The sequence below is a fragment of the Homo sapiens genome, chromosome 1 (genome assembly GCF_000001405.40).
Source record: "Homo sapiens chromosome 1, GRCh38.p14 Primary Assembly".
NCBI lineage: Eukaryota > Metazoa > Chordata > Mammalia > Primates > Hominidae > Homo > Homo sapiens.
The window spans coordinates 205,148,078-205,172,249 of record NC_000001.11 but is presented as its reverse complement, the minus strand read 5'-3'; the positions used below and the strand labels follow the sequence as shown (position 1 = coordinate 205,172,249).

Sequence of the window (24,172 nt, the reverse complement as noted above, 5' to 3'; positions counted from 1 at the left end):
TGTGGTGGCTCACACCTGTAATCCCAGCACTTTGGGAGTCTGAGGCAGGTGGATCACTTGAGGTCAGCAGTTCAAGACCAGCCCGGCCAACATGGTGAAACCCCATCTCTACTAAAAATACAAAAATTAGCCGGGCGTGGTGGTGCGTGCCTGTAATCCCAGCTACTCGGGAGGCTGAGGCAGGAGAATTCACTTGAACCCAGGAGGCAGAGGTTGCAGTGAGCCGAGCTCGTGCCATTGCACTCCAGCATGGGTGACAGAGTGAGACTGCATCTCAATCAATCAATCAATAAACCTGCTGCTCAGATAGGGTAAGAAATAAAAACAGCATAATCATCTGAAAGAAACGAAATTGTGTATCTTTTAGACTTCAGACAAAGTAAATATTCAACATCTGATAACTGTTAAGGACACAAACTTGAGCATATTTGTGTTGAGTTCTTTTATAACTCTAAAATATGCTAGAATTCTATGGAGGATTGATTCTGAGTTTACAGACCCTTGAAGACATCAGGAGTCTGTGTACCTACAGTGGTAATATATTAATATGTGTGAGTCCCTAGTTAACCGTTTACACCTGGAATGCCAGGCAAAGTAGACAATGTCAGAGACACAGAGGAACAACCTGTGCAATGGATGGAAATGCAGTAGATGGACATATGCTCTTGTGTGTTTGGAACCTTCACAGGAAAGAAGCAGAACACAAAGTGGAAAGTGCAGACGAGGCAAAGGACCTGTGGAAGGTTTGTTTCTAAACCTCAAACCTCAAAGATCTTTTTTTTTTTTTTTTTTTTTAATTGAGACAGAGTCTTGCTTTGTCGCCCAAGCTGGAGTGCAGTGGGGCGATCTCAGCTCACTGCAACCTCCGCCTCCTGGGTTCAAGCCGTTCTCCTGCCTCAGTCTCTGGAGTAGCTGGGGCTACAGGCGCCCACCACCACACCCGGATAATTTTTGTATTTTTAGTACAGATGGGGTTTTGCCATCTTGGCCAGGCTGATCTCAAACTCCTGACCTCAAGCGATCCTCCTGCCTTGGACTCCCAAGGGCTGGGATTACAGGTGTGAGCCACTGCGCCGAGCTTAAAGATCATTCTCGAAACTCACTTTAGCAAACTTGGGTATTTCAGTTAGGATTAGGTTCAATTGTAACAGATCATCAAACAAACAAACACAAAAAAACCAGGAACTTAAAGATAGAGTTTTTGGGTTTTTTTTTTTTTCCTTACATGAAAGAAGTCTGAAGCTAGGTAACTGAGAGCTGGCATGGCAGTTCTGTGATCACCAGAGACCTAAGCTCCCTCTTTCTTTTGGTGTCATCATCTTTAGTGCTGGCTTCCACCATCAGGTTTGCCTTAGGGCTGCTGAGTGATCGCTGCTGTTCTAGCTGTCACATCTGTGCTCCAAGCAGGAAGAAGGACAAGGCCAAAGGACATATTTCCTGGTAGAATCCACCCCCTGTACCCTAAAGGGCTTTCCTGGAAACCCCACCCACTTATCGGATACCCCTATCTGTAAAGGACATTGCCTTCACTTATAACATGGAGACTAGATATTGGATAGGCAAACCTTGGTCTTTGCCATACCAAGTGATCGATCATATTCCTAAAGGTATTTCTTAGACTTAGGTTGCTAAGACTTCGGGATATCTACAGACTCAGAACAGGACAGTAATAATGTTTGGTGAACCTGGCTTTTCGTTTCCTGCTTAATTGATTAATTCAACAGTATTTAGGACTTACCACATGCTAGGCACTGGAGCTACGATAGTAAGCAAAATAGACCCAGTCCCTGCCCTCAAAGAGTTTACAGACCCATGGGGGAAAGAAAGGTTTTAAAGAAGTGGATTATAAATATGTTGAACCTTAAGAAGAGGGAAGTAAAGTGTGCTTGGTTGGGGCTGTGTGATAGGAAAGGCTCTATAAGGATATGTCATAACATATACATTGAAACTTAAAGGATGCTTAGGAGTTAGCCAGGTCAGAATGGCAGGGATGGAGGTGTCAGAGGAGAGCAAGAGGGGGAGGAGTGCCCCAGGTCGACTCACTCCCAGTCTGATAATTTCCATTACAATTCCTTTTTCTTCCATTATTTGTCTTAATTCTTCATCAGAGGGAATCAGTGGGAATGTCTAAGCAATAAAGGAAGGCAGAGACCAAAATTTTTTTTTAATCTGATGGCTAAAGGGGTTGCCATCCTTTCTACTTCTTTGTTTTTTCACTCTCTCTAGATGAGTGCCTGCCTTCATAGGCTGCACCAGGGAGTGTTGGTAACCGAGGAAGGAGGTGGATCAATGGCTGGGGTACCGAAGTCCAATTGTTCCATTGTAGATCAGGATTTTGGTCTCAGTGTGGGACTTTGGGGAGACAGGGATTGGTTCTGACCCTGAGGCGCTGATATATGACCCCCTTCCCCTTCCAGGAAGTGGACGTTGTGGTAGCACCATGCCAAGGCCTCCGGCCCACAGTGGATGTTCTGGGTGACTTGGTGAATGATTTCTTGCCTGTGATAACCTATGCACTCCACAAAGATGAACTCTCTGAGAGGGATGAGCAAGAGCTTCAGGAAATCCGAAAGTATTTCTCCTTTCCTGTATTCTTTTTCAAAGTGCCGAAACTGGGCTCGGAGATAATAGACTCCTCAACCAGGAGAATGGAGAGCGAAAGATCACCGCTTTATCGCCAGCTAATTGACCTGGGCTATCTGAGCAGCAGTCACTGGAACTGTGGGGCTCCTGGCCAGGATACTAAAGCTCAGAGCATGTTGGTGGAACAGAGTGAAAAGCTGAGACACTTGAGCACATTTTCTCACCAGGTGTTACAGACTCGCCTGGTGGATGCAGCCAAGGCCCTGAACCTGGTGCACTGCCACTGCCTTGACATCTTTATTAACCAGGCATTTGACATGCAGCGGGACCTGCAGATCACTCCCAAACGTCTGGAATATACTCGAAAAAAGGAGAATGAGTTGTATGAATCATTGATGAATATTGCCAACCGAAAGCAGGAGGAAATGAAGGATATGATTGTTGAGACACTTAATACCATGAAGGAGGAACTTCTGGATGATGCTACTAACATGGAGTTTAAAGGTAGGTCCCAGAGAGCTTGTTGGGGTGCTGGCACGGGAGGAGTCTCTAACCATTTTCTAGCCGGAAATTAAGAACGTTAATTCCTAAGGTTAAAGGAATCTCAGGGTAACTTCATCCACCCCACTGTTACCAGCAGGAGCCCACTATTTAGCCAAGGTGGCCTCTCTTGCTCTCAAAGATCATTGTGGAAGATTCCACCCTCATTCCTTCCCAAGAACATTAGCTCAACTTTTGGTAAATTCATCCTAATAGCTCTGTAATCTCCACTTTCTGCCTGTACCCCCTCAACCCCTAATGGAGCTGGAGAAGAGCTGCTTGGAGAATGTTAGTAAATTGTGCTTTAACCTTTGCTCCTGCAGTATGGCTCATGCCTCTTTATTGGTTCTTTTTGTCTCATGGTCTAATTTCCTTTCAGGCTGCTTCTGAAGCCCACATCAGGAGGATTTCCCAAAGTTGTGTTTTTAGCCTTTTGACAGTCCTATTCTTCACAAATGGCTACTAACAAAATTGGGTGAAAGTGATTGGTCAGGTCTTTGGGTGTCTGAGATGCTGCTGATTTTGTATACTGACTTCTGTATAAACCTCCATGCAAGATTAAAATGACATGGTTTGCAAGTTACCCTTTAGAGTCTCAGTTGTGAGTATCCTAATCCCTTGGGAGGCTTTCTGAAAATACACATGCTCAAGACCACTAAAGATGACTGCAGACTTACTCACGATTTCTGACATGGGACCCAGCATCAGTATTTTTAAAAAATAACCTCCCTAGGTAGATTCTGCTTATTTCCTTTTTCTAGATGAGGGACTAAGGCTTAGAAAGAGTAAGTAATTTGCCCAGGGTCACACAGCTAGTAAATATTAGAGGCAGGATTTGAATCCAGACAGTCTGATTCCTGAGCCCATATTCTTAATTTCCATCCTTTACTGCTTCTTAATCTGTTTCCAGTTACTGATGCCACCTTCTTCCTGGTACCCACCTTCAAAACCTCAGCATGGTCTTGAATTGTCTTCCCTTGGCTAATCAGTTGCCAAGTACTGATTAATCTTTCTTTTTTTTGAGATTAAGTCTCGCTCTGTCGCCCAGGCTGGAGTGCAGTGGCGTGATCTTGACTCACTGCAACCTCCGCCTCCTGGGTTCAAGCAATTCCCCTGCCTCAGCCTCCCGAGTAACTGGGATTACAGGCGTGTGCCACCGTTCCCGGCTAAATTTTTTTTTGTATTTTAGTAGAGACGGGGTTTCATCATGTTGGCCAGGATGTTCTTGACCTCGTAATCTACCCGCCTCGGCCTCCCGAAGTGCTGGGTGGCGTGAGCCACCACACCTGGCCTCGATTAATCTTCTTACGTATTCGATACCTATCTATGCTTTTCTATTCTGTCTTAAGTCTAACTGAACTATTGTTATCTAACTGATCTCCCTGACTTCTTTCTTCAGTTCACCTTTACTGGCTCCCTACTTCTACAGACTAAGTTTAACTCCTACACCTAGTATTAAAGACCTCCCAAAGCCTAGCCCTTACCAACTTTTCCAGTCTTATTTCCCCACTATGCACTTTCCTGTATTTTCTATGTCAGTTGGTCTTAACTTCTTTCTGTCCTCCATACGCTCCCTTTACTTTTTCTTTGCTAACACCCTGCCTTAAACCTGGAATGTCTTTGATTTGTCTGTGAACTTCCAAATCCTACCTACCCATCAGGGCCTGTCTCCCAAATGCCATTTTTCATGAAGTCTTCTTTAATTTTCTCCTTCTTTTTTTATTTTTGGGACAGGTTCTTGCTCTGCCATCCAGACTGGAGTGCAGTAGTGCAGTCATGGCTCACTGCAGCCCCAATCTCCTGGGCTCAAGCAATCCTCCTGCCTCAGCCCCCTGCACACCTGGGACTACAGGCACATGCCACCACACCAGCTAACTTTTTGTATTTTTTTTTAGAGACAGGGGTTTCACCATGTTGGCCAAGCTGGTCTTGAACTCCTGGTCTCAAGCAATCCTCCCACCTCGGCCTCCTAAAAAGTGCTGGGATTATAGGCATGAGCCATCACACCTAGCCCTGCTTTAATTTTCTTAGCTAATAACAATTGCAGTCATTTGAAATCCCATAGCATTCCATCTGTAACTTATTTCTGGCATATTTCACTTTCTATCTTTTATTATAGTTATTTATGTACTGCGGACTACTTCCTAAAATCCTAGAGTTGAAAGAGGGTAGGATCTGGGTCTTATTCATCATCATATTCCTTGCAGCAAATAACACAGACTCTTGTATACAGTACGTCTTTGGAGAATCAATGAGTGTGTGAATGATGGTATCTAGTTTAAGTTACACTTATAAATACAAAGGAAGTATGGTTGACTTTAGCAAACATAGGTTGCCTGATTTCTTATAGTCATTCTAAAGATGAACAGAGATACCTCTTTGGTTAATTCCCCACTGCGAGAGGAGTTGTTGAGAAGTGTTACTTGCAGTGGAAATCTTAGGAAGTCTTCTCAATATTTGATTAAAGACACCAGAGCATCACTGCCGGCATCATATTACACAGAATGGAGGTCAGGACAGCTAGGTTGGGCAGACAGTAAAGTATCCGATTGTTCTTACCTTGTTCTAAGTGCTTTCTGAGTATCCTTGAAACAATAAGAAGATTTAGAAGCAAGCTAGCACATATTCTATGGAGCCAGATTTTTTTTTTTTTTTGTAAAGACGAGGTCTTGCTGTGTTGCCCAGGCTTGTAGCGATCCTCCTGCTTCAGCCCCCACAAAGTGCTAGGATTACAGGTATGAGCCATCGTGCCCAGCGTTGAGCCAGATTACTATTACTGTCTGTTTTTAAATAAAGACAATGCATATGTGCTAGGTATCATGATATTCACACTTTATAAAATTTATTTTTAAGATAAAACCTATATGTATAGTACTTAACTCAGAGTTATAAAGACACCATCCCCCAGCCACCCAGTTCTTCTCCATATGTTCTTCTGCACTTGTCTTTTTCATTTAATATGTATCTTAGAGGGCATTCCATAAATATTCATACAAATTTGTCTTCTTCTAATGGATATGCCTGAATTTATTGAACTATTCTCTCATTGGTGGACATTTAAGCTGTTTGTTTTTGTTTTTTATTTTTATTTATTTATTTTTTTTTGAGACAGGATCTTGTTCTGTCGCCCAGGCTGGAGTGCAGAGGCCTGGTCTAGTCTCACTACAACCTCCGCCTCCTGGGTTCAAGGAATCCTCCCACCTCAGCCTCCCTAGTAGCTGGGTCTAAAGGTGTGCACCATCACACCTGGGTCTAAAGGTGTGCACCATCACACCATCATACCTGTATTTAGTAGAGACAGGGTTTCACCATGTTGGCCAGGCTTATTTGTTTATTTTTTATTTTCTCTTTCGCTAATACAAAATGTACTGCATTAATCATCATTGTACATATACACCTTGGGACTTGTAAGGGTATATCTCAAGAAAAAGAATTCCTAGAAGCAAAATAGTTAGATCAAAGGGTATGTAGATTTTTCTTGGTTGGTTGAACATTTTAATAGATATTGCCAAATTTCCTCTGAAGAAGTGGCACCCATTTAAGTTTCCACCAGTAGACATGAGAGTGCCTTTTCAGGAGCACATCTTTTTGCAAGTAGTTTGACTTCTCTCAAGTTCTTCTGTCCTCTGATTTACAACATTAATAGATGTTCTAATCCTAAGAGATAGTGTGGCATGGTGGGGACAATTGAGTTTTACTTTTTATTTATCTAGTAATTGATTAGAATAAAATTCCTGGCCGGCGGCAATGGCTCATGCCTGTAATCTCAGCACTTTGGGAGGCCAAGGTGAGCGGATCACCTGAGGTCAGGAGTTCAAGACCAGCCTGGCCAACATGGTGAAACCCCATCTCTACTAAATACAAAAATTAGTCTGGCGTGGTGGTGGGTGCCTGTAATCCTAGGTACTTGGGAGGCTGAGGCACAAGATCACTTGAACCCAGAAGGCGGAGGTTGCAGTGAGCCGAGATCGTGCCACTGCACTCCAGCCTAGGCGATAGAGCTAAACTCAGTCTCAAAAAAAGCAAAACAAAACAAAACATAGAATACAATTCCTGACTCTTGGGTTTTTCTCATTAATATGCTAGGGAGTGTGAAATTTTGCAAAGATCATAGGATTTGGAATAATGAGCACTGGGTTCAAAAGCTGGCTGTATTACTTCCTAACTGTACTATTCCCTTCCCATGTCTACTTTGTTCTCTCTTTGAGGCTGTTTCCTGATCTATAATACCCATGTAACAAAGTTATTGTGAAGATGAAATTAGATTACATGTGTAAAATCCTTATTTTAGTGCCTTTCAAATAGTTTGCACTTCATAAATGTTGTTCCTCCCCTCCTATAAATGTGACATAAAAGCTAACAAAATTGCCGGGCACGGTGGCTCACACCTGTAATCCCAGCACTTTGGGAGGCCGAGGTGGGCAGATCACGAGGTCAGGAGATCGAGACCATCCTGGCCAACATGGGGAAACCCCGTCTCTACTAAAAATACAAAAAATCAGCCAGGCGTGGTGGCGGGTGCCTGTAGTCGCAGCTACTCGGGAGGCTGAGGCAGGAGAATGGCTTGAACTCGGGAGGCGGAGCTTGCAGTGAGCCGAGATTGCATCACTCCACTCCAGCCTGGGCGACACAGCGAGACTCCGTCTCAAAAAAAAAAAAAAGCTAACAAAATCAACAGTCTCATTCTAGACTTATTGCTTCTTATTTATTTTTTTTTTTTGAGACGGGGTCTCACTCCCATCACCCAGGCAGGAGTGCAGTGGCACAATCACAGCTCATTGTAGCCTCTACTTCCTAGGTTCAAGCCATCCTCCCGCCTGCCTCATCTTTTTACTTTTTGTAGAGATGAGGTCTCACTGTTACCCAAGCTCATCTTGAACTCCTGGGCTCAAGCAATCCTCCTGCCTCAGCCTCCCAAAGTTTTGGAATTACAGGCGTGAATCACTGCACCTGGACTTAATTGCTTCTTCTCAGGATCTTAGCTGCCTTTAGTAGTTGAGGGTTACGTGACCCCTGATCATTGTGAGAGTTAGACATCATCAACGAATCATGTCTTTTTGCAGCCATCATCATCACGGTAGTTCCATGGTTCTGATTTGGGAGATGACTTTATTTAGTGTGTCTGCCCCTTCTTCCTCACAACTATTCAGCTTATTTCTCTGCCTCCATAGACGTCATTGTCCCTGAGAATGGAGAACCAGTAGGCACCAGAGAGATCAAATGCTGCATCCGACAGATCCAGGAACTCATCATCTCCCGACTTAATCAGGCAGTGGCTAATAAGCTGATCAGCTCAGTGGATTACCTGAGGGAAAGCTTCGTCGGAACCCTGGAACGATGTCTGCAGAGCCTGGAGAAGTCTCAGGATGTCTCAGTTCACATCACCAGTAATTATCTCAAACAGGTAGACAAAGAATGATTTTTAAGACATCGTGTCATAGATAGCACATGAAAAATCTGCACAAGTCCACACTTCAAATTAGGCAAGAATTTCCCTTTCAGCTTCTTGCGAATCTTGTTTGAATTTTATTTTGTTTTCCTGTCACATGACCACTGCCTGTGGGAGATGTTGGTGAGCTGTAAAACTGCAGTTAAGTTGATGAATATAGGCCAGGCACAGTGGCTCACGCCTGTAATCCCAGCACTTTGGGAGGCTGAGGTGGGCGGATAACCTGAGGTTGGGAGTTGGAGACCAGCCTGACCAACATGGAGAAATCCCATCTCTACTAAAAATACAAAATTAGCTGGGCGTGGTGGTGCATGCCTGTAATCCCAGCTACTTGGGAGGCTGAGGCAGGAGAATCGCTTGAACCTGGGAGGCAGAGGTTTCGGTGAGCCAAGATCACGCCATTGCACTTCAGCCTGGGGGACAAGAGTGAAACTCTGTCTAAAAAATAAAAAAAAAAATAAAAAAATAAGTTGATGAATATAAAGATGAGGTAGAAGGGGCTAGATAGTCACAAAATAAATAATCAGCTTAAGTTGACTCTGCATATATATTGAGGGGTAAGTTTGGAAACCCTGAGTCTGGACTGTGTTCTTGAAATAAGTATCATTTATTGCATTTTTAAAATAGCCACACTACTGAGGACATGTTTTCTTTGGCGTTGTCTCTTTCAGATCTTAAATGCTGCCTATCATGTTGAAGTCACGTTTCACTCAGGGTCGTCAGTTACAAGGATGCTATGGGAGCAAATCAAACAGGTAGGGATTATTACTTAGAGAAAGATTTCAAAGCCCCTAGTTGGCTCAAATGAATCATAGTGACCCCAGTAGGAAACAGATATCTAGGATCTTCTGTTAAGGCAGGGTGACCATTTGTTCTGGTTTGCCTGCCTGGGAGAATTCTGGTTTATGCCTATTCTTAAATAATTATTAACATTGTTCCCTTGAACTCTCAGAAGTTTTGGGTTTAAATGATTTTTATGTTGGGTGCTCTTTGTGGACAATGGAAAAATAGAAAAAAAAGATAAATGATATTTCATGGAGCCATAAGACTCTACCACACTAGCTTCTTCATATTTCTTTTTCCCAGCCTAAATCTTTTCTCAGAACTAGGCTTTGTTGTTGCCAGAGGCTGTGAATGTGGTTTCTGTTCTGGAATTTGATCTGGCTCTTATGTAGAGTTATTTACTGACTTCAGAAAGATTATCAGGCACTCCCTGGCACTGAATGTAATATATTGAGGGTTTGTGAGCATGTAGACTAGGCCTGGTGTTCTTTGATGCTTTTCTCTGGGCTAGGACCTGATTTTGTGGTAGATGGAATTGGAAAGGAACTTTGGACTTCGTATGGCTCCCATCTTATGAGCCTGCTCTTAATGAATGGGTAACCCAGAAAAGGAAGGACACTGGATCTTTGTAGTGGTTCTTGTCTCTCATTCCTTGGTGATCTCGCTGTCTTCATCCTGGTAGATCATCCAGCGCATCACATGGGTGAGCCCACCTGCCATCACTCTGGAATGGAAGAGGAAGGTGGCCCAGGAAGCCATTGAGAGCCTCAGCGCCTCCAAATTGGCTAAGAGCATTTGCAGCCAATTCCGGACTCGGCTCAATAGTTCCCACGAGGCTTTTGCAGCCTCCTTGCGGCAGGTTGGTATGTAGGAAAGGAGATACAGCTGGATCAAGCAGAGAAGAGCCTCATCCAGATGGGAATATTTCGCTCTCCGCTCTTCATATATAATATGTGTGTGTGTCTGTGTGTGTATACATATATATACACATATATATACACACACACACATATGTATATTAAAATCATCAGTATATTTTCTTTCTAGATTGTTATAGGAAGTTTTTTCAATAAATTTTTCATGTGGATATTTTCCTAACTCTCGGGAGAATGGAGTGAGCTCAGTTAATTCCTGCCCATTTCAGAGTGAGGAAAGATAATAGGAGTAGGAATTTTGTATGTTTATATAGTATTTTAGGAACAAATGACAGAAGGACATGACTTTCCAACTTCTATATTTCATAATTGTTTGACATCTGATTGTCCACTGGCGGGGAGTGGGTGTGTCCAGGCAGAGAGTGGATAGATGTGAGTATGCATCCAGGAGGAAAAGTTATTATTTATTGAGAGTCTACTCTGTGCCAGTCTCTGTGCTAAACATGTTACATGTATCTTGTTTAATTCTCACAATTATCTATATGAAGTAGATATTATTATCCCTGTATAACAGGTGAGGAAGCTGAAGCTAGGGACTTAAGTCATATGTACTTTTTCTGTTTCTCTCCCAGCTGGAAGCTGGCCACTCAGGCCGGTTAGAGAAAACGGAAGATCTATGGCTGAGGGTTCGGAAAGATCATGCTCCCCGCCTGGCCCGCCTTTCTCTGGAAAGCTGTTCTTTACAGGATGTCTTGCTTCATCGTGAGTCTGGTTTTCTTCTAGATAAACTGGAGGATGGTTCAGGATACCTGACATTCTTATGTCCAGCCTCAGAGAATCCTAGTGTCTAAAGCTGCTTCTTTGCAAAGCTGCCTAAACCCTTACTGATGTTTTTGAATTCCTAAAGTCTCTTCCTGCTATTTATATAGTTCAAATAACATGACCAGGCCAGGTGTGGTGGCTCACACCTGTAATCTTAGTACTTTGGGAGGCTGAGGTGGGTGGACTGCCTGAGCTCAGAAGTTCAAGACCAGCCTAGGCGATATGGCAAGACCCCATCTCTACTAAAAAAATTAGCTGGGCGTGGTGGCACTTTGCAACCCCAGCTCCTCAGGAGGCTCAGGCAGAAGATTCACTTGAACCCAGGAAGTAGAGGTTGCAGTGAGCCAAGATCATACCACTGCACTGCAGCCTGGGTGACAGAGCAAGACTCTGTCTCCAAAAAAAAAAACAACAAAAAACAAAAAACCACATAACCACAGTTTATTTGAATTAAACCAGTTAGATTATTTTCTATTGGGTTAGAATGACACTAGAATTTTATCCCTGGGCTTGATTACAGCTTCCTGACCCTAAAGGCAGGTTCACAATGAAGAATGTTACAGGGCCAGCATGGTGGCTTATGCCTGTAATCCCAGTACTTTGGGAGGCCACGGTGGGTGGATCACTTGAGCCCAGGAGTTCGGGACCACCCTGGGCAATGTGGCAAAACCCCGTCTCTAATAAAACTGTAAAAATTAGCTGTGCGTGGTGGCGTATGCCTGTAATCCCAACTACTTGGGAGCCTGAGGCAGAATAATCGCTTGAACCCAGGAGGCAGAGGTTGCAGTGAGCAGAGATCATGCCACTGCACTCCTGCTTGGGTGACAGAACAAGACTCTGTCTCAAAAAAAAAAAAAAAGAATCTTACAGAGGTTGCCCACGAAGTTCCCATTCCTCCTGCCTTATCTCTGTCTCTGTACCTTATAGGTAAACCTAAACTGGGACAGGAACTGGGCCGGGGCCAGTATGGTGTGGTATACCTGTGTGACAACTGGGGAGGACACTTCCCTTGTGCCCTCAAATCAGTTGTCCCTCCAGATGAGAAGCACTGGAATGATCTGGCTTTGGAATTTCACTATATGAGGTGGGTCCTGGCCTCATTCATCTCTATGAGAAAGATCCAGAGAAGAATCTAGAACCCTGGTTTAGATTTTGTACCAAGAGCTACAGCATGGCCTCTCTATATTTAGTTTTCTGTGTCTAACAGACATGTGCTCCCTTTCAGGCCTTTACTGTCTTTGCTTGCTCTTTCCCCACCATCCTAATTTCTCAGACTCATCATTCCATTTAACTTTCTTCTTTAGTCCTTAAGCCTTATCAGTTTTTAGAATCCAGGATTCTTCATCCTTGTTGAAGAGGCCATGCTCTGTCTGTACTGAGGGCTCTGTCTGCACTGAGGGCCATTACCTCTGGACCTGTCCTAAGCATGGTCTGGAAATTATTGTCTCATACATTGTGGCATGGCATGCAGGATTAGAGCCCAAGCCTTGTAGCCCAGATCTCTCTCCTTCCCTCCAGGTCTCTGCCGAAGCATGAGCGATTGGTGGATCTCCATGGTTCAGTCATTGACTACAACTATGGTGGTGGCTCCAGCATTGCTGTGCTCCTCATTATGGAGCGGCTACACCGGGATCTCTACACAGGGCTGAAGGTAAGGAGAGAGCAAGATCCAGCTGGCAGCCAAATCCACGGGTTCCTTTCTGGCCACTCATCCTCTCCTGTTTATTAAGAGCTTTTAGCTTTCATCAGAGATTGTTGGAGTAATTAGGGTTTATTTCACTTATTTCCAAAAACCCTTAAAGATTTCTCAGCTGGGCATGGTGGCTCACCCCTGTAATCCCAGCACGTGGGGAGGCCAAGGTGGGAGGATCACTTGAGTCCAGGAGTTTGAGACGAGTCTGGGCAATAGAGGGAGACTTCGTCTCTATAAAAAATTAAAAGTTAGCTGAGTATGGTGGCTCATACCTGTAGTCCCAGCTACTTGAGGGTGCTGAGCTGGGAGGATCTCTTGCGCTTAGGAGGTTGAGACTGCAATGAGCTATGATCATGCCACTGCACCCTAGCCTGGGTGACAGAGCAAGACCCTATCTCTAAAAATAAAAAAAAAAAATTTTTAAAGATTTATCAGAACCTATTTTCACCCCATTATATGCCCAGAATACTGTCATCACCACTCAGACCCCTGTGGTGGTAGTAAAAATCTAAACTCCTTAGAAGAGCAGTATAGCTTCCTGTAACTCTGCTCTTCTTTCTCATTTTTGCTGTAGGAGGATAAAGCTAGTTTTTGTTGTTTAGTCAACAGATATTTATTAGTGACTGCTTTGTACAAGGTCCAGCATTAAGCACCATTAGAGGATATCAGAAGGTATAATTGACAGGCACTATTAAGAGAATTGTAGTCAGCAACCATTTCAGGAAGATGTGGCGTTTGAGTTTGACAAATATACCATGATGGGTAGAATTTGGGCAGTGGAAGGAAGAGGCCATAGCAAGGGGAAGGAACAGCTTAATGCCTAGAGCATTCGAAGGCCGGTAAGGACACTGGGCACATTGGAGCAGCTGGTTCATTTTGGGAATCAGGAGACATAATGTGCAAAGAGATGTTGGGAACAAATTATATAAGACCCAAAATGTTAAGAATTTCCATAGAATTCGAATTCTGTTATAGACTGTGAGAAGCTACTAAAGGATTTTATTTGAGTGAAGGTGAAACCCTCAGTTGGATGTTGAGTTTCCCTTATCTAAACCACCAAGAGGGAATTAGAGAGGTTTCTTTTGTCTGTTCCCTATGTAGGAGCTGAGTAGAAGGAGAGAAAAGCTGACCTCAGAGTCTCCGAGTAGATCCCTTCTCACAGATTCCTCTTGGACCAGTTTATATGGAGGCTTCCAGAAGTAGGGCAGAGGAAACCTTAGAAATGCTTCCCAGAGTCATGAGGAATCAATATGATGAAGAAAATGACTCTCCAAGCAGCTTTCCCTCTTCATTTCAGAGGAGTTAAGCATTGTCTGATGCATTTCCACAAGTGAGCTAGAGAATGTCCTTTGAGCTTTTGAATGAGTGATGTGACATTTTCCAGTATTCAGGAGACCCTGAATTGAAGTAATATGAGTGACTTTGGTATTTGAATCCATAAAACCAAACCTGGGCTAACCAGGCCTGTAAAGCAATGGAAATAAATCTTCCTGAGGGACCTAGAAATAGTCACTTTGAGCCTCAAGGGCAGTTCCAGAATTTTTTCAAGTGTTAGAAATGAGCTCATGCCTTAGTTGTTTGGTTCTATCTGCTAGTCACATTTGAAGTTATCTGTTCGGCTTAACTGCAGCCTGCAAGGGATTTTATCTGGCTTTGTCTCCTTTACAACTTGCTCTTCCTTGCTTTTCCTCTACTTCCCTCTCCTAACTGCTTTTTCTCCCCCAACCTTTTTTTTTTTTTTTTGAGACAGAGTCTTGCTCTGTCACCCAGGCTGAAGTGCAGTGGCACCATCTCAACTCACTGCAAGCTCTGCCTCCTGGGTTCAAGTGATTCTCCTGCCTCAGCCTCCCAGGTAGCTGGGATTACAGGCACCTGCCACCACATCCAGCTAATTCTTTTTTGCATTTTTAGTAGAGACAGGATTTCACCATGTTTGCCAGGCTGGTCTTGAAATTCTTGACCTTGGCCTCCCTAAGTGCTGGGGTTACAGGCATGAGCCACTGTGCCCGGCTCTTCCCCTTTTTAAAAATCACTTTTCTGTCCTCATGTGCCCTAGTATAGTCAGTTGAATTGAGGAGTTGCCTTATCATGACAAGTAAGCTCTTTTGTCTCCCCAAGGCTGGGCTGACCCTGGAGACACGTTTGCAGATAGCACTAGATGTGGTGGAGGGAATCCGCTTCCTGCACAGCCAGGGACTTGTCCATCGTGATATCAAACTGAAAAATGTGCTGGTAAGTAAAAGCTGTTTCCCCAAGATTATACCCTACCTCTGTGGCTGAGTGATTTTGGAGGGTACATGTAAATGTAAGTTAGATCCTAAGAAAAGTCCTCACAGAAAGTGTATTAGTCCATTCTCACGCTGCTAGTAAAGACATACCTAAGACTGGGTAATTTATAAAGAAAGAGGTTTAATTGACTCACAGTTCCACAGGGTTGGAGAGGCCTCAGGAAACTTTTAGTTATGGTGGAAGGGGAAATAAACACATTCTTCTTCACATGGCAGCAGCAAGGAGAAGTACTGAACAAAAGGGGGTAAAGCCCCTTACAAAACCATCAGATCTCATTAGAACTCACTGTCATGAGAAAAGCATGAGGGTGACTGTCCCCATGATTAAATTACCTCTCACTGGGTCCCTCCCACAACACATGCAGATTATGGGAACTACAATTCAAGATGAGATTTGGGTGGGGACACAGCCAAACCATATCATTCTGCCCCTGGCCCCTCCCAGATCTCATGTCCTCACATTTCAAAACACAATCATGCCTTCCCAACAGTTCCCCAAAGTCTTAACTCATTCTAGCATTAATCCAAAAGTCCAAGTCCAAAGTTTTATCTGAGACAACGCAAGTCCCTTCTGCCTGTGAGCCTGTAAAATCAAAAGCAAGTTAGTTACTTTCTACATACTATGAGGGTACAGGCATTGGGTAAATACACCCATTCCAAATGAGAGAAATTGGCCAAAACAAAGGTGCTACAGGGCCCATGCAAGTCTGAAATCCAATAGGGCAGTCATTAAACCCTGCAGTTCCAAAATCATCTTCTTTGACTCCATGTCTTACATCCAGGGCACACTCATGCAAGAGGTGGTCTCCCATGGCATTGGGCATCTTCACACCTGTGGCTTTGCAGGATACAGCCTACCTCCTGGCTGCTTTCATGGGCTGGTGTTGAGTGTCTGTGGCTTTTCTAGGCACACGGTGCAAGTTGTGTGTGGATCTACCCTTCTGGGTTCTAGAAGACAGTGGCCTTCTTCTCACAGCTCCACTAGGCAGTGTCCCAGTGGGGACTTTCTGTGGGGGCTCCAACCCCACATATCCCTTCTGCATTGCCCTAGCAAAGGTTCTCCATGGGGGCTCCACCCCTGCAGCAAACTTCTGCCTGGATATCCAGGCATTTCCATACATCCTCTGAAATCTAGGTGGAGGTTCCCAAACCACAATTCTTGATTTCTATGCACCTGCAGGCCCAACACCACATGTAAGCTGCCAAGATTTGGGGCTTGCACCCTCTGAAGCAATGGCCTGAGCTATGTGGTGGCCCCTTTTAGCCACAGCTGGAACTGAAGCAGCTGGGATGCAGGGCACCATGTTCGAAGGCTGCATACAGCAGGGGGGCCCTGGGCCCAGCCCACAGAACCATTTTTCCCTCCTAGACCTCCAGGCCTGTCATAGGAGGGGCTGCTGTTAAGGTCTCTGACATGCCCTGGAGAAATTTTACCATTGTCTTGCTGGTTAATATTCAGCTCCTCATTACTTACGAAAATTTCTGCAGCAGGCTTGAATTTCTCCCCCAGAAAATAGGTTTTCTTTTTTTTTTCCTTTCTTTTTTTTAAAAATTTTTTTGAGATGGAGTCTCGCTCTGTTGCCCAGGCTGGAGTGCAGTGGCGCAATCTCAACTCACTGTAACCTCCACCTCCCAGGTTCAAGCGATTCTCCTGCCTCAGCCTCCCAAGTAGCTGGGATTACAGGCAGCCAGGCTAATTTTTGTATTTTTAGTAGAGACAGGGTTTTGCCATGTTGGCCAGGCTGGTCTCCAACTCCAGACCTCAAGTGATCCGCCCACCTCGGCCTCCCAAAGTGCTGGAATTTTAGGCGTGAGGCACTGCACCCAGCGAGAAAATAGGTTTTCTTTTCTATCACATTGTCAGGCTGCAAATTTTTCAAACTATTATGCTCTGCCTCCTCTTCAACACTTTGCTGCTTAGAAATTTCTTCCGGGGTGGGTATGGTGGCTCACACCTGTAATCCCAGCACTTTGGGAGGCCAAGGTGGGTGGATCACCTAAAGTCAGGAGTTCGAGGCCAGCCTGGCCAACATGGTGAAACCCTGTCTCTACTAAAAATAAAAAATTAGCTGGGTGTGGTGGCACACACCTGTAGTCCCAGCTACTTGGGAGGCTGAGGCAGGAGAATTGCTTGAACCTGGGAGGCAGAGGTTGCAGTGAGCTGAGATTGCGCCACTGCACTCCAGCCTGGGTGACAGAGTGAGGCTCTGTCTCTAAATAAATAAATAAATAAATAAATAAATAAATTTCTTCCACCAGATACCCTGAGTCATCTCTCTCAAGTTCAAGTTCCACGGATCTCTAGGGCAGGGGCAAAATGCCTCCAGTCTCCTTGCACAGCAATAGTGACCTTTATTCCAGTTCCCAACAAGTTCCTCATTTCCATCTGAGACCACCTTAGCCTGGACATCATTGTCCATATCACTATCAGCATTTTGGTCAAAGCCATTCAACAAGTCTCTAGGAAGTTCCAAACTTTCCCACATTTTCCTGTCTTCTTCTGAGCCCTCCAAACTGTTCCAGCCTCTGTCTGTTACTCAGTTCCAAAGTCGCTTCCACAATTTCATGTATCCTTACAGCAGCAGCCTACTCTTGGTACAATTTACTGTGTTAGTCCATTCTCACACTGCTAATAAAGACATACCTGAGACTGGGTACCTTTTACAGGAAAAATGGTTAATTGACTCACAGTTCCGCAAGGCTGGAGAGGCCTCAGGAAGCTTACCATCATAGTGGAAGGGGAAGAAGCAAACATGTCCTTCTTCACATGGTGGCAGCAAGGAGAAGTGCCGATCAAAAGGGGGGGAAAAACCCCTTACCTCCCATCAGGTCCCTCCCACGACATGTGGGGATTATGGGAGTTACAATTCAAGATGAAATTTGGATGGGGACAAATCATATCAGAAAGTAGTAGAGTTGACAGCATGGTGAAAGATGGTGTGTGAGACTTAAAGCTTAGGGAGGAGTTTCATCATAGACCTAGCTGATGTTGTGTAAGGTTTTTTCCCCCTACACTGTTTTGAAAAATGTTAAACTTATGGAAGAGTGGTACAATGAAGACCCATATACCCTTCACCCAAACTCATATTCTTTTCTCCAAAATGTACGCTCTCTCTTTCTCTCTATACATGCACACACACACACACACACACACACACACGTGTGCATACTTTTTTACTGAGCTATATGAAATTAAGTTACAAGGCCAGGCACAGTGGCTTATGCCTGTAATCCGAGCACTTTGGGAGGCCAAGGTGGGTGAATCACCTGAGGTCAGGAGTTCGAGACCAGCCTGGCCAACATGGTAAAACCCTGTCTCTACCGAAAATACAAAAAAAAAAAAAAAAAAGTTAGCCAGGCGTGTGCATGCCTGTAGTCCCAGCTACTTAGGAGGCTGAGGCAGGAGAATCGCTTGAACCCTGGAGGCAGAGGTTGCAGTAAGCCAAGATCGCACCACTGCACCAGGCTGGAGCCTGGTGACAGAGTGAGACCCTGCCACACACACACACACAAAAAGTAAGTTACAGAAAACATTTTATTCCTAAGTATCTCCTAAGAAAAAGGACATTGTTCTACATAATCAAAGTGTCATTATCATACCCAAGAAATTTAACATTGATACAATACTATTATTTAATATGTAATCTATATTAACATTTTTCAGTTGTCCCAAATATGTTCAGTTGCCCTAAATATGGTATGTTTGTTTGTTTGATACAGGATCCAATCCAGGAAATATATAGTATATTTTGTTGTCATGTTTCTTTAGTCTCCTTTAATCTAGAATAGTCTTTCTGCCTTTGAGGAGTCTGAGCTTTGTTATTGCTTAAGGTTTGATCAGAGATGTAGGATGAAGGCTGAGATGGGTAAGTGTACCTTAAATGGTGAGATGGTCATGAACCCTCCAGTCCTGTAATTTGAATTGTAAAGAATCTTTCGACCTGCTCCTCTTGAAAGTATACTGGCATATCATTAAGTTGTTTCTGGCAATACTTAAATGATTTATAAAGATGACAGCAATTTAGGGGAAGGGAACGATCTCCCTAAAATTGACAGCTGAAACCTAAAAGGCTGATCAATAGCCAAATTAGACATACTTATTCTCTTCGACCTTTAGGAAAGGAAACTACAGGGACTTTAGGAAACTCTCCTTAGCTGACCGGAGGACCTCAACTTTCTGCCCTGGGGTCAGGAGGAGAGTCAGGCACTGAAGTGTTTCCCTGGTGTCCTTCCATGGACCTGTACTTCCTCATTCTTCCAGGGTTTTTTAGGATCTTCATATGTACCAGGCTAAGCACTGTGCTAAGCACTGGGGATGCAAAGATGAAAACAGCAATCCCTGCCCTCATGCTGCTCATAGTATGGGGAGGAAGACAGTACCGGTTGAGTATTCCTAATCCAAAAATTACAAATCCAAAATGCTCCAAAATCCAAAAGTTTCTGGGCACTGACATGACCCTCAAAGGGAATGCTCACTGGAGCATTTTGGATTTTTAATTAGAGGTGCTGAATCAGCAAATATAATAGATACATTCCAAAATCTGAAAAAAAAAAAATGAAATTCAAAACACTTCTGGTTCCAAGCCTTTCAGATAAGGGATACTCAACCTGTAATGGAAATGAACCTGGAGACAGGAAGGTTGGCGGCAGGATTTATGAAGTACAGTCATGCACTGCGCAATGACAGTTTGGTCAGTGAGACCACATATACGATGTAGTCCGATAAGATTATAATGGACTGGCCAGGCGCAGTGGCTTACGCCTGTAATCCCAGCACTTTGGGAGGCCGAGGCAGGTTGATCACCTGAGGTTGGGAGTTCGAGACCAACCTGACCAACGTGGAGAAACCCTGTCTATACTAAAAATACAAAATTAGCTGGGTGTGGTGGCGCATGCCTGTAATCCCAGCTGCTCGGGAGGCTGAGGCAGGAGAATCGCTTGAACCCGGGAGGCAGAGGTTGCGATGAGCCGAGATCATGCCATTGCACTCCAGCCTAGGCAACAAGAGCGAAACTCCTTCTCAAAAAACAAAAACAAACAAAAAAGATTATAATGGACTAAAAAATTCCTATTGTCTAGTGACATCATAGCTGTTGTAATGTTGCAGCACAGTGCAATACACATGTGATGCTCGTGTAAACCTACTGATATAAAAGTATAGCACAATTATGTACAGTATATAATATTTGATAATAAGCAGCTCTGTTACTGGTTTATATATTTACTGTACTATACTTTTTATCTTTTCATACCTTTTAGATACTCTAACAATAAAGAGTATAATATAGTAAATATATAAACCAGTAAGGACAACCTTGGGCAGGACCTTAGGACAAATTCCAGAAGAAGGTGTTGCTGTCATAGCTCCATGTGTATTATTGTCCCCGAAAACCTTCCAGTGGGACAGAATGTGGAGGTGGAAGACAGTGATATAGATGATCCTGACCCCATGCAGGCCTAGGCTAATATGTCTGTGTTTTAGTTCTTAACAAAAAAGTTTTAAAAGTTAAAAAAAAAAAAAAAGAAAGCCTATAACCAGCCTGGACAACAGAGAAAGACCCCAATCTCTACTAAAAATCAAAAAATTAGCCAGGCATGGTGGCATACAACTATAGTCTTAGCTGTCAGGAAGCCGAGGTGGGAAGAGCCTAGAAGTTCAAGGCTGCCTTGAGCTATGATTGTGCCACTGCACTCCAGCCTGGACGACAGAGCACAACCCTGTCTCTTTAAAACAACAACAACAACAACAAAAAGCCACTATTTTTGTACAGCTATACAATGTGTGTTGTAAGCTAAGTGTTTATTACAAAAGAGTCAAACAAAAAGCTTAAAAAATTAAAAAGTTTATAAAGTAAAACTACAGTAAGTAGAGGTTGATTTATTATTGAAGAAAAGCTTTTAAAAATAAATTTAGTGTAGCCTAAATATACAGTGTTTATAAAGCCTACAGTGGTGTACAGTAACGTCCTAGGCCTTCACATTCACTCACCACTCACTCACTGACTCACCCAGAGCAACTTCCACTTCTGCGAGCTCCATTCATTGTAAATGCCCTCTACAGGTATACCATTTTTTATCTTTTATACCATATTCTTACTGTACCTTTTCTATGTTTAAGTATGTTTAGATACACAAATACCATTGTGTTACAGTTGCCTATGGTATTCAGTACAGTAATACGCTGTACAGGTTTGTAGCCTAGTAGCAAAAGACCATACTAGGTGTGTAGCAGGTATACCATCTGGGTTGGTGTAAGCACAGTCTGGTGTTTGTACAAGGATGAAATCACCTGACAACTCATTTTCAGAGCATAATCCTATCCAGTGACACTACTTTGAGGTACCTACCTTTGAGCTTAGGTACGCAGCAGTGCTGTGTGCAGGATCAGAAACAAGGTGACTCTTGCCCTGCTTTGTTGGCAGCTGGATAAGCAGAACCGTGCCAAGATCACTGACTTAGGATTCTGCAAGCCAGAGGCCATGATGTCAGGCAGCATTGTGGGGACACCAATCCATATGGCCCCTGAACTTTTCACAGGTAAGGCTGGAGGGCAGGCAGTGGGTCTGGGCAGGGCGTACTACTTTAATCCTGAGTGCTACCCCTTGAGCTCGTTTCCACAATCACTACTGGCAGGTCTGGCACAGGCAAGGGAGAAACCAGATCAGGGGAGACCTACCTAAGGCAAGTAGCAGGGAAAGTGAAGAGGTAAAGGAGTAAGAAAGAAAAAGTACAAATGGGAATCACCATTTGGACATCTCTCTCGGTTATTAGTGCCATAACTGCCATAATCAGCCAATTATTTAATCATAAAGTATTGATTGAATAACTCCTGTGTGATAGGAGTTGTCCTCTATCATTAAAGAACTTACCGTTGACATAGAGATATATTAAGAGGTAAAATAGGAAGCAGTACAACACAACGTATGATTAAGTGCTAAATTAAGTGCTATATAATGTACTGTTGGTGTTTAGAGAAGGAATAAATGAAGGTGGAAATGTTTGGTGGTTTTGTGATGGAGGTGAGATTTTGAATAGAACTTGAGTCAGATTTGGGAAATTGGTAGGTGAGAAGGGAACTCATTTATTAAGTATATACCTTGACCTAAGCAGTATGGGTAGGTTTTTCACATATTTTGTTTAATTCTGTGACGATGATGTATTTTTATGTCCATTCAATGGATAAAATTGAGACCAGATTGATGAAGAAACCTACTCCCAAAACCATTGAGCTAAAAGGTAATGGAGCTATGATTTAAGACTAGGACTTTCTGTCTCCATAGTATAACCCTGTAGCATGAAGGAGAGAAAATTCTGGAGGCTAAAGAAGGGGAAATAATGAAGAAAATCACAGAATAGAAATAAGCATGACAGGAAAGAAATCCATTTGGGGAATAGTAGCAAACAAGGTTGGAGATAAAATACATTGAGTTTGAAATTCCCACAGAAGAATCAAGGCTTGTTGTGCAAGACTTAAGGAGCTACTGAGCTTTTGAGTAGGGGACAGAGGAAAATGTTGATAGAAGATGAGCTTTAGCAACAGTAGGTAAAGATGATTTGGGAAGAACCAAGGTAAGACTAGATAGCTGGTCTTCTATGGTTGCCTCCATGATTAAGCTGGTGTTAGTGCTAAAACAAACAAACGTGAGAAATTTGAGATTAATTCAGAGGAAGAATGAACAAAATTTTGGTGCTAACTTGATATGGTTAGTGAACAGAAAAGAATGACTAAAAGATGACTCCACGGTTTTGAGCCCAAGTGATGGGAATGATTGTTCCATTGCCAGCGAAGATAGAAAGGTAGTCCCTGGTCAGTCATTAGTATTGGTAAGAGTTAAAATTAGCAATATATTTAAATTTCTTTCATTTCATGTACGAGTCTTCCCCCAGCCCTTCACTGGGTGATACATGTAAGGATTAGGTGTTAGTGAGACAGCTGTAGTCGTACTCAACATCTGAACCAAGTAGATAGTCATCATTTTTCTTTCTCTTGATTTACTTAAAAAAAAAAAAACTTTCGGCCAGGTGCGGTGGCTCATGTCGTAATCCCAGCACTTTGGGAAGCCAAGGCAGGTGGATCGCCTGAGGTCAGGAGTTCAAGACTACCCTGACCAACATGGAGAAACCCCATCTCTACTAAAAATACAAAATAGGCCGGGCGTGGTGGCACATGCCTGTAATCCCAGCTACTCGGGAGGCTGAGGCAGGAGAATCGCTTGAACCCAGCAGGCAGAAGTTGTGGTGAGCCGAGATCATGCCACTGCACTCCAGCCTGGGCAATAAGAGTCAAACTCCATCTCAAAAAAAAAAAAAAAACACTTTCTAATTCCACTGCTGTTATTCTATTTTGGCTACTTCATACTTAAATTTCTTTTATTGTTTCTATTACAGTCCACCCTATTGCTGTTGGAATCATCTTTCTAAAATATTATATTCTTCATGTCACCTCCTACTCTAAAACATAAATGACTTCCTGCTTCTCACTGAATCCAGACTCTTCTACCTGACTTTAAAAATTATTATATTCTGGTTCCAACATACCTACCCACCTGTATTTCCAACTTTATTTCCCTAATATGACCTTTTGTGATTAATCTTTTTGACTGTCCTAGCAGAATGAAAGGCCTTATTTTCCTTCTCCTTTGTCAAGTTCTAGGCTTGGCTCTCTTAGTATTGAGCTGTGACCTCCCAATGTCTTAGTTGATTGTATTGTAAAATGGGCATTATAAATGTACCCTGCCTACCTGGCAGGGTTGTTATTGAGAGATAATAGTTGTTAAAAGCTTTGGAAAAAGCCAACCCTCTACTGAGGCAAGGTGGTGTAGATGCTGCTGCCTGACTCTCTGTGGCTCATTACGTTTCATCCTTTCTTGCCATCAGGGAAGTACGATAATTCCGTGGATGTCTACGCTTTTGGAATTCTTTTCTGGTATATCTGCTCAGGCTCTGTCAAGCTCCCTGAGGCATTTGAGAGGTGTGCTAGCAAAGACCATCTCTGGAACAATGTGCGGAGGGGTAAGAGCCACAAGTACTACCTTGTCCTAACTCCCCTGGCTAGCGCAGACTGAGCCCAGGCAATGTCACCGGGTCTCCTGTCATCCCATCTGGCCACTCCATAGCAGGGCCGTAGATACGTTTAAAC

General features: G+C 43.5%; 1 protein-coding gene across 8 annotated transcripts in view; it reads left to right on the top strand.

Annotated features, from left to right (window-relative positions):
* The window catches only part of DSTYK (dual serine/threonine and tyrosine protein kinase), a 69,198-nt gene that overhangs the window by 39,453 nt on the left and 5,573 nt on the right, over positions 1-24,172 (top strand). For 3 of the 8 annotated variants that reach the window (XM_011509394.3, XM_011509392.3, NM_015375.3), the window contains 10 exons: positions 2,418-3,087; positions 8,295-8,527; positions 9,244-9,327; positions 10,038-10,214; positions 10,863-10,992; positions 11,980-12,136; positions 12,571-12,703; positions 14,864-14,977; positions 21,456-21,570; positions 23,911-24,045. In XM_011509394.3, the coding sequence (XP_011507696.1) occupies positions 2,418-3,087; positions 8,295-8,527; positions 9,244-9,327; positions 10,038-10,214; positions 10,863-10,992; positions 11,980-12,136; positions 12,571-12,703; positions 14,864-14,977; positions 21,456-21,570; positions 23,911-24,045 (1,948 nt within the window). Of the gene's footprint in view, positions 1-688; positions 744-2,417; positions 3,088-8,294; positions 8,528-9,243; positions 9,328-10,037; positions 10,215-10,862; positions 10,993-11,979; positions 12,137-12,570; positions 12,704-14,863; positions 14,978-21,455; positions 21,571-23,910; positions 24,046-24,172 lie in introns of all 8 variants that reach the window. The other 5 variants (XM_047417152.1, XM_047417145.1, NM_199462.3 and 2 more) reach the window with 3 other exon arrangements.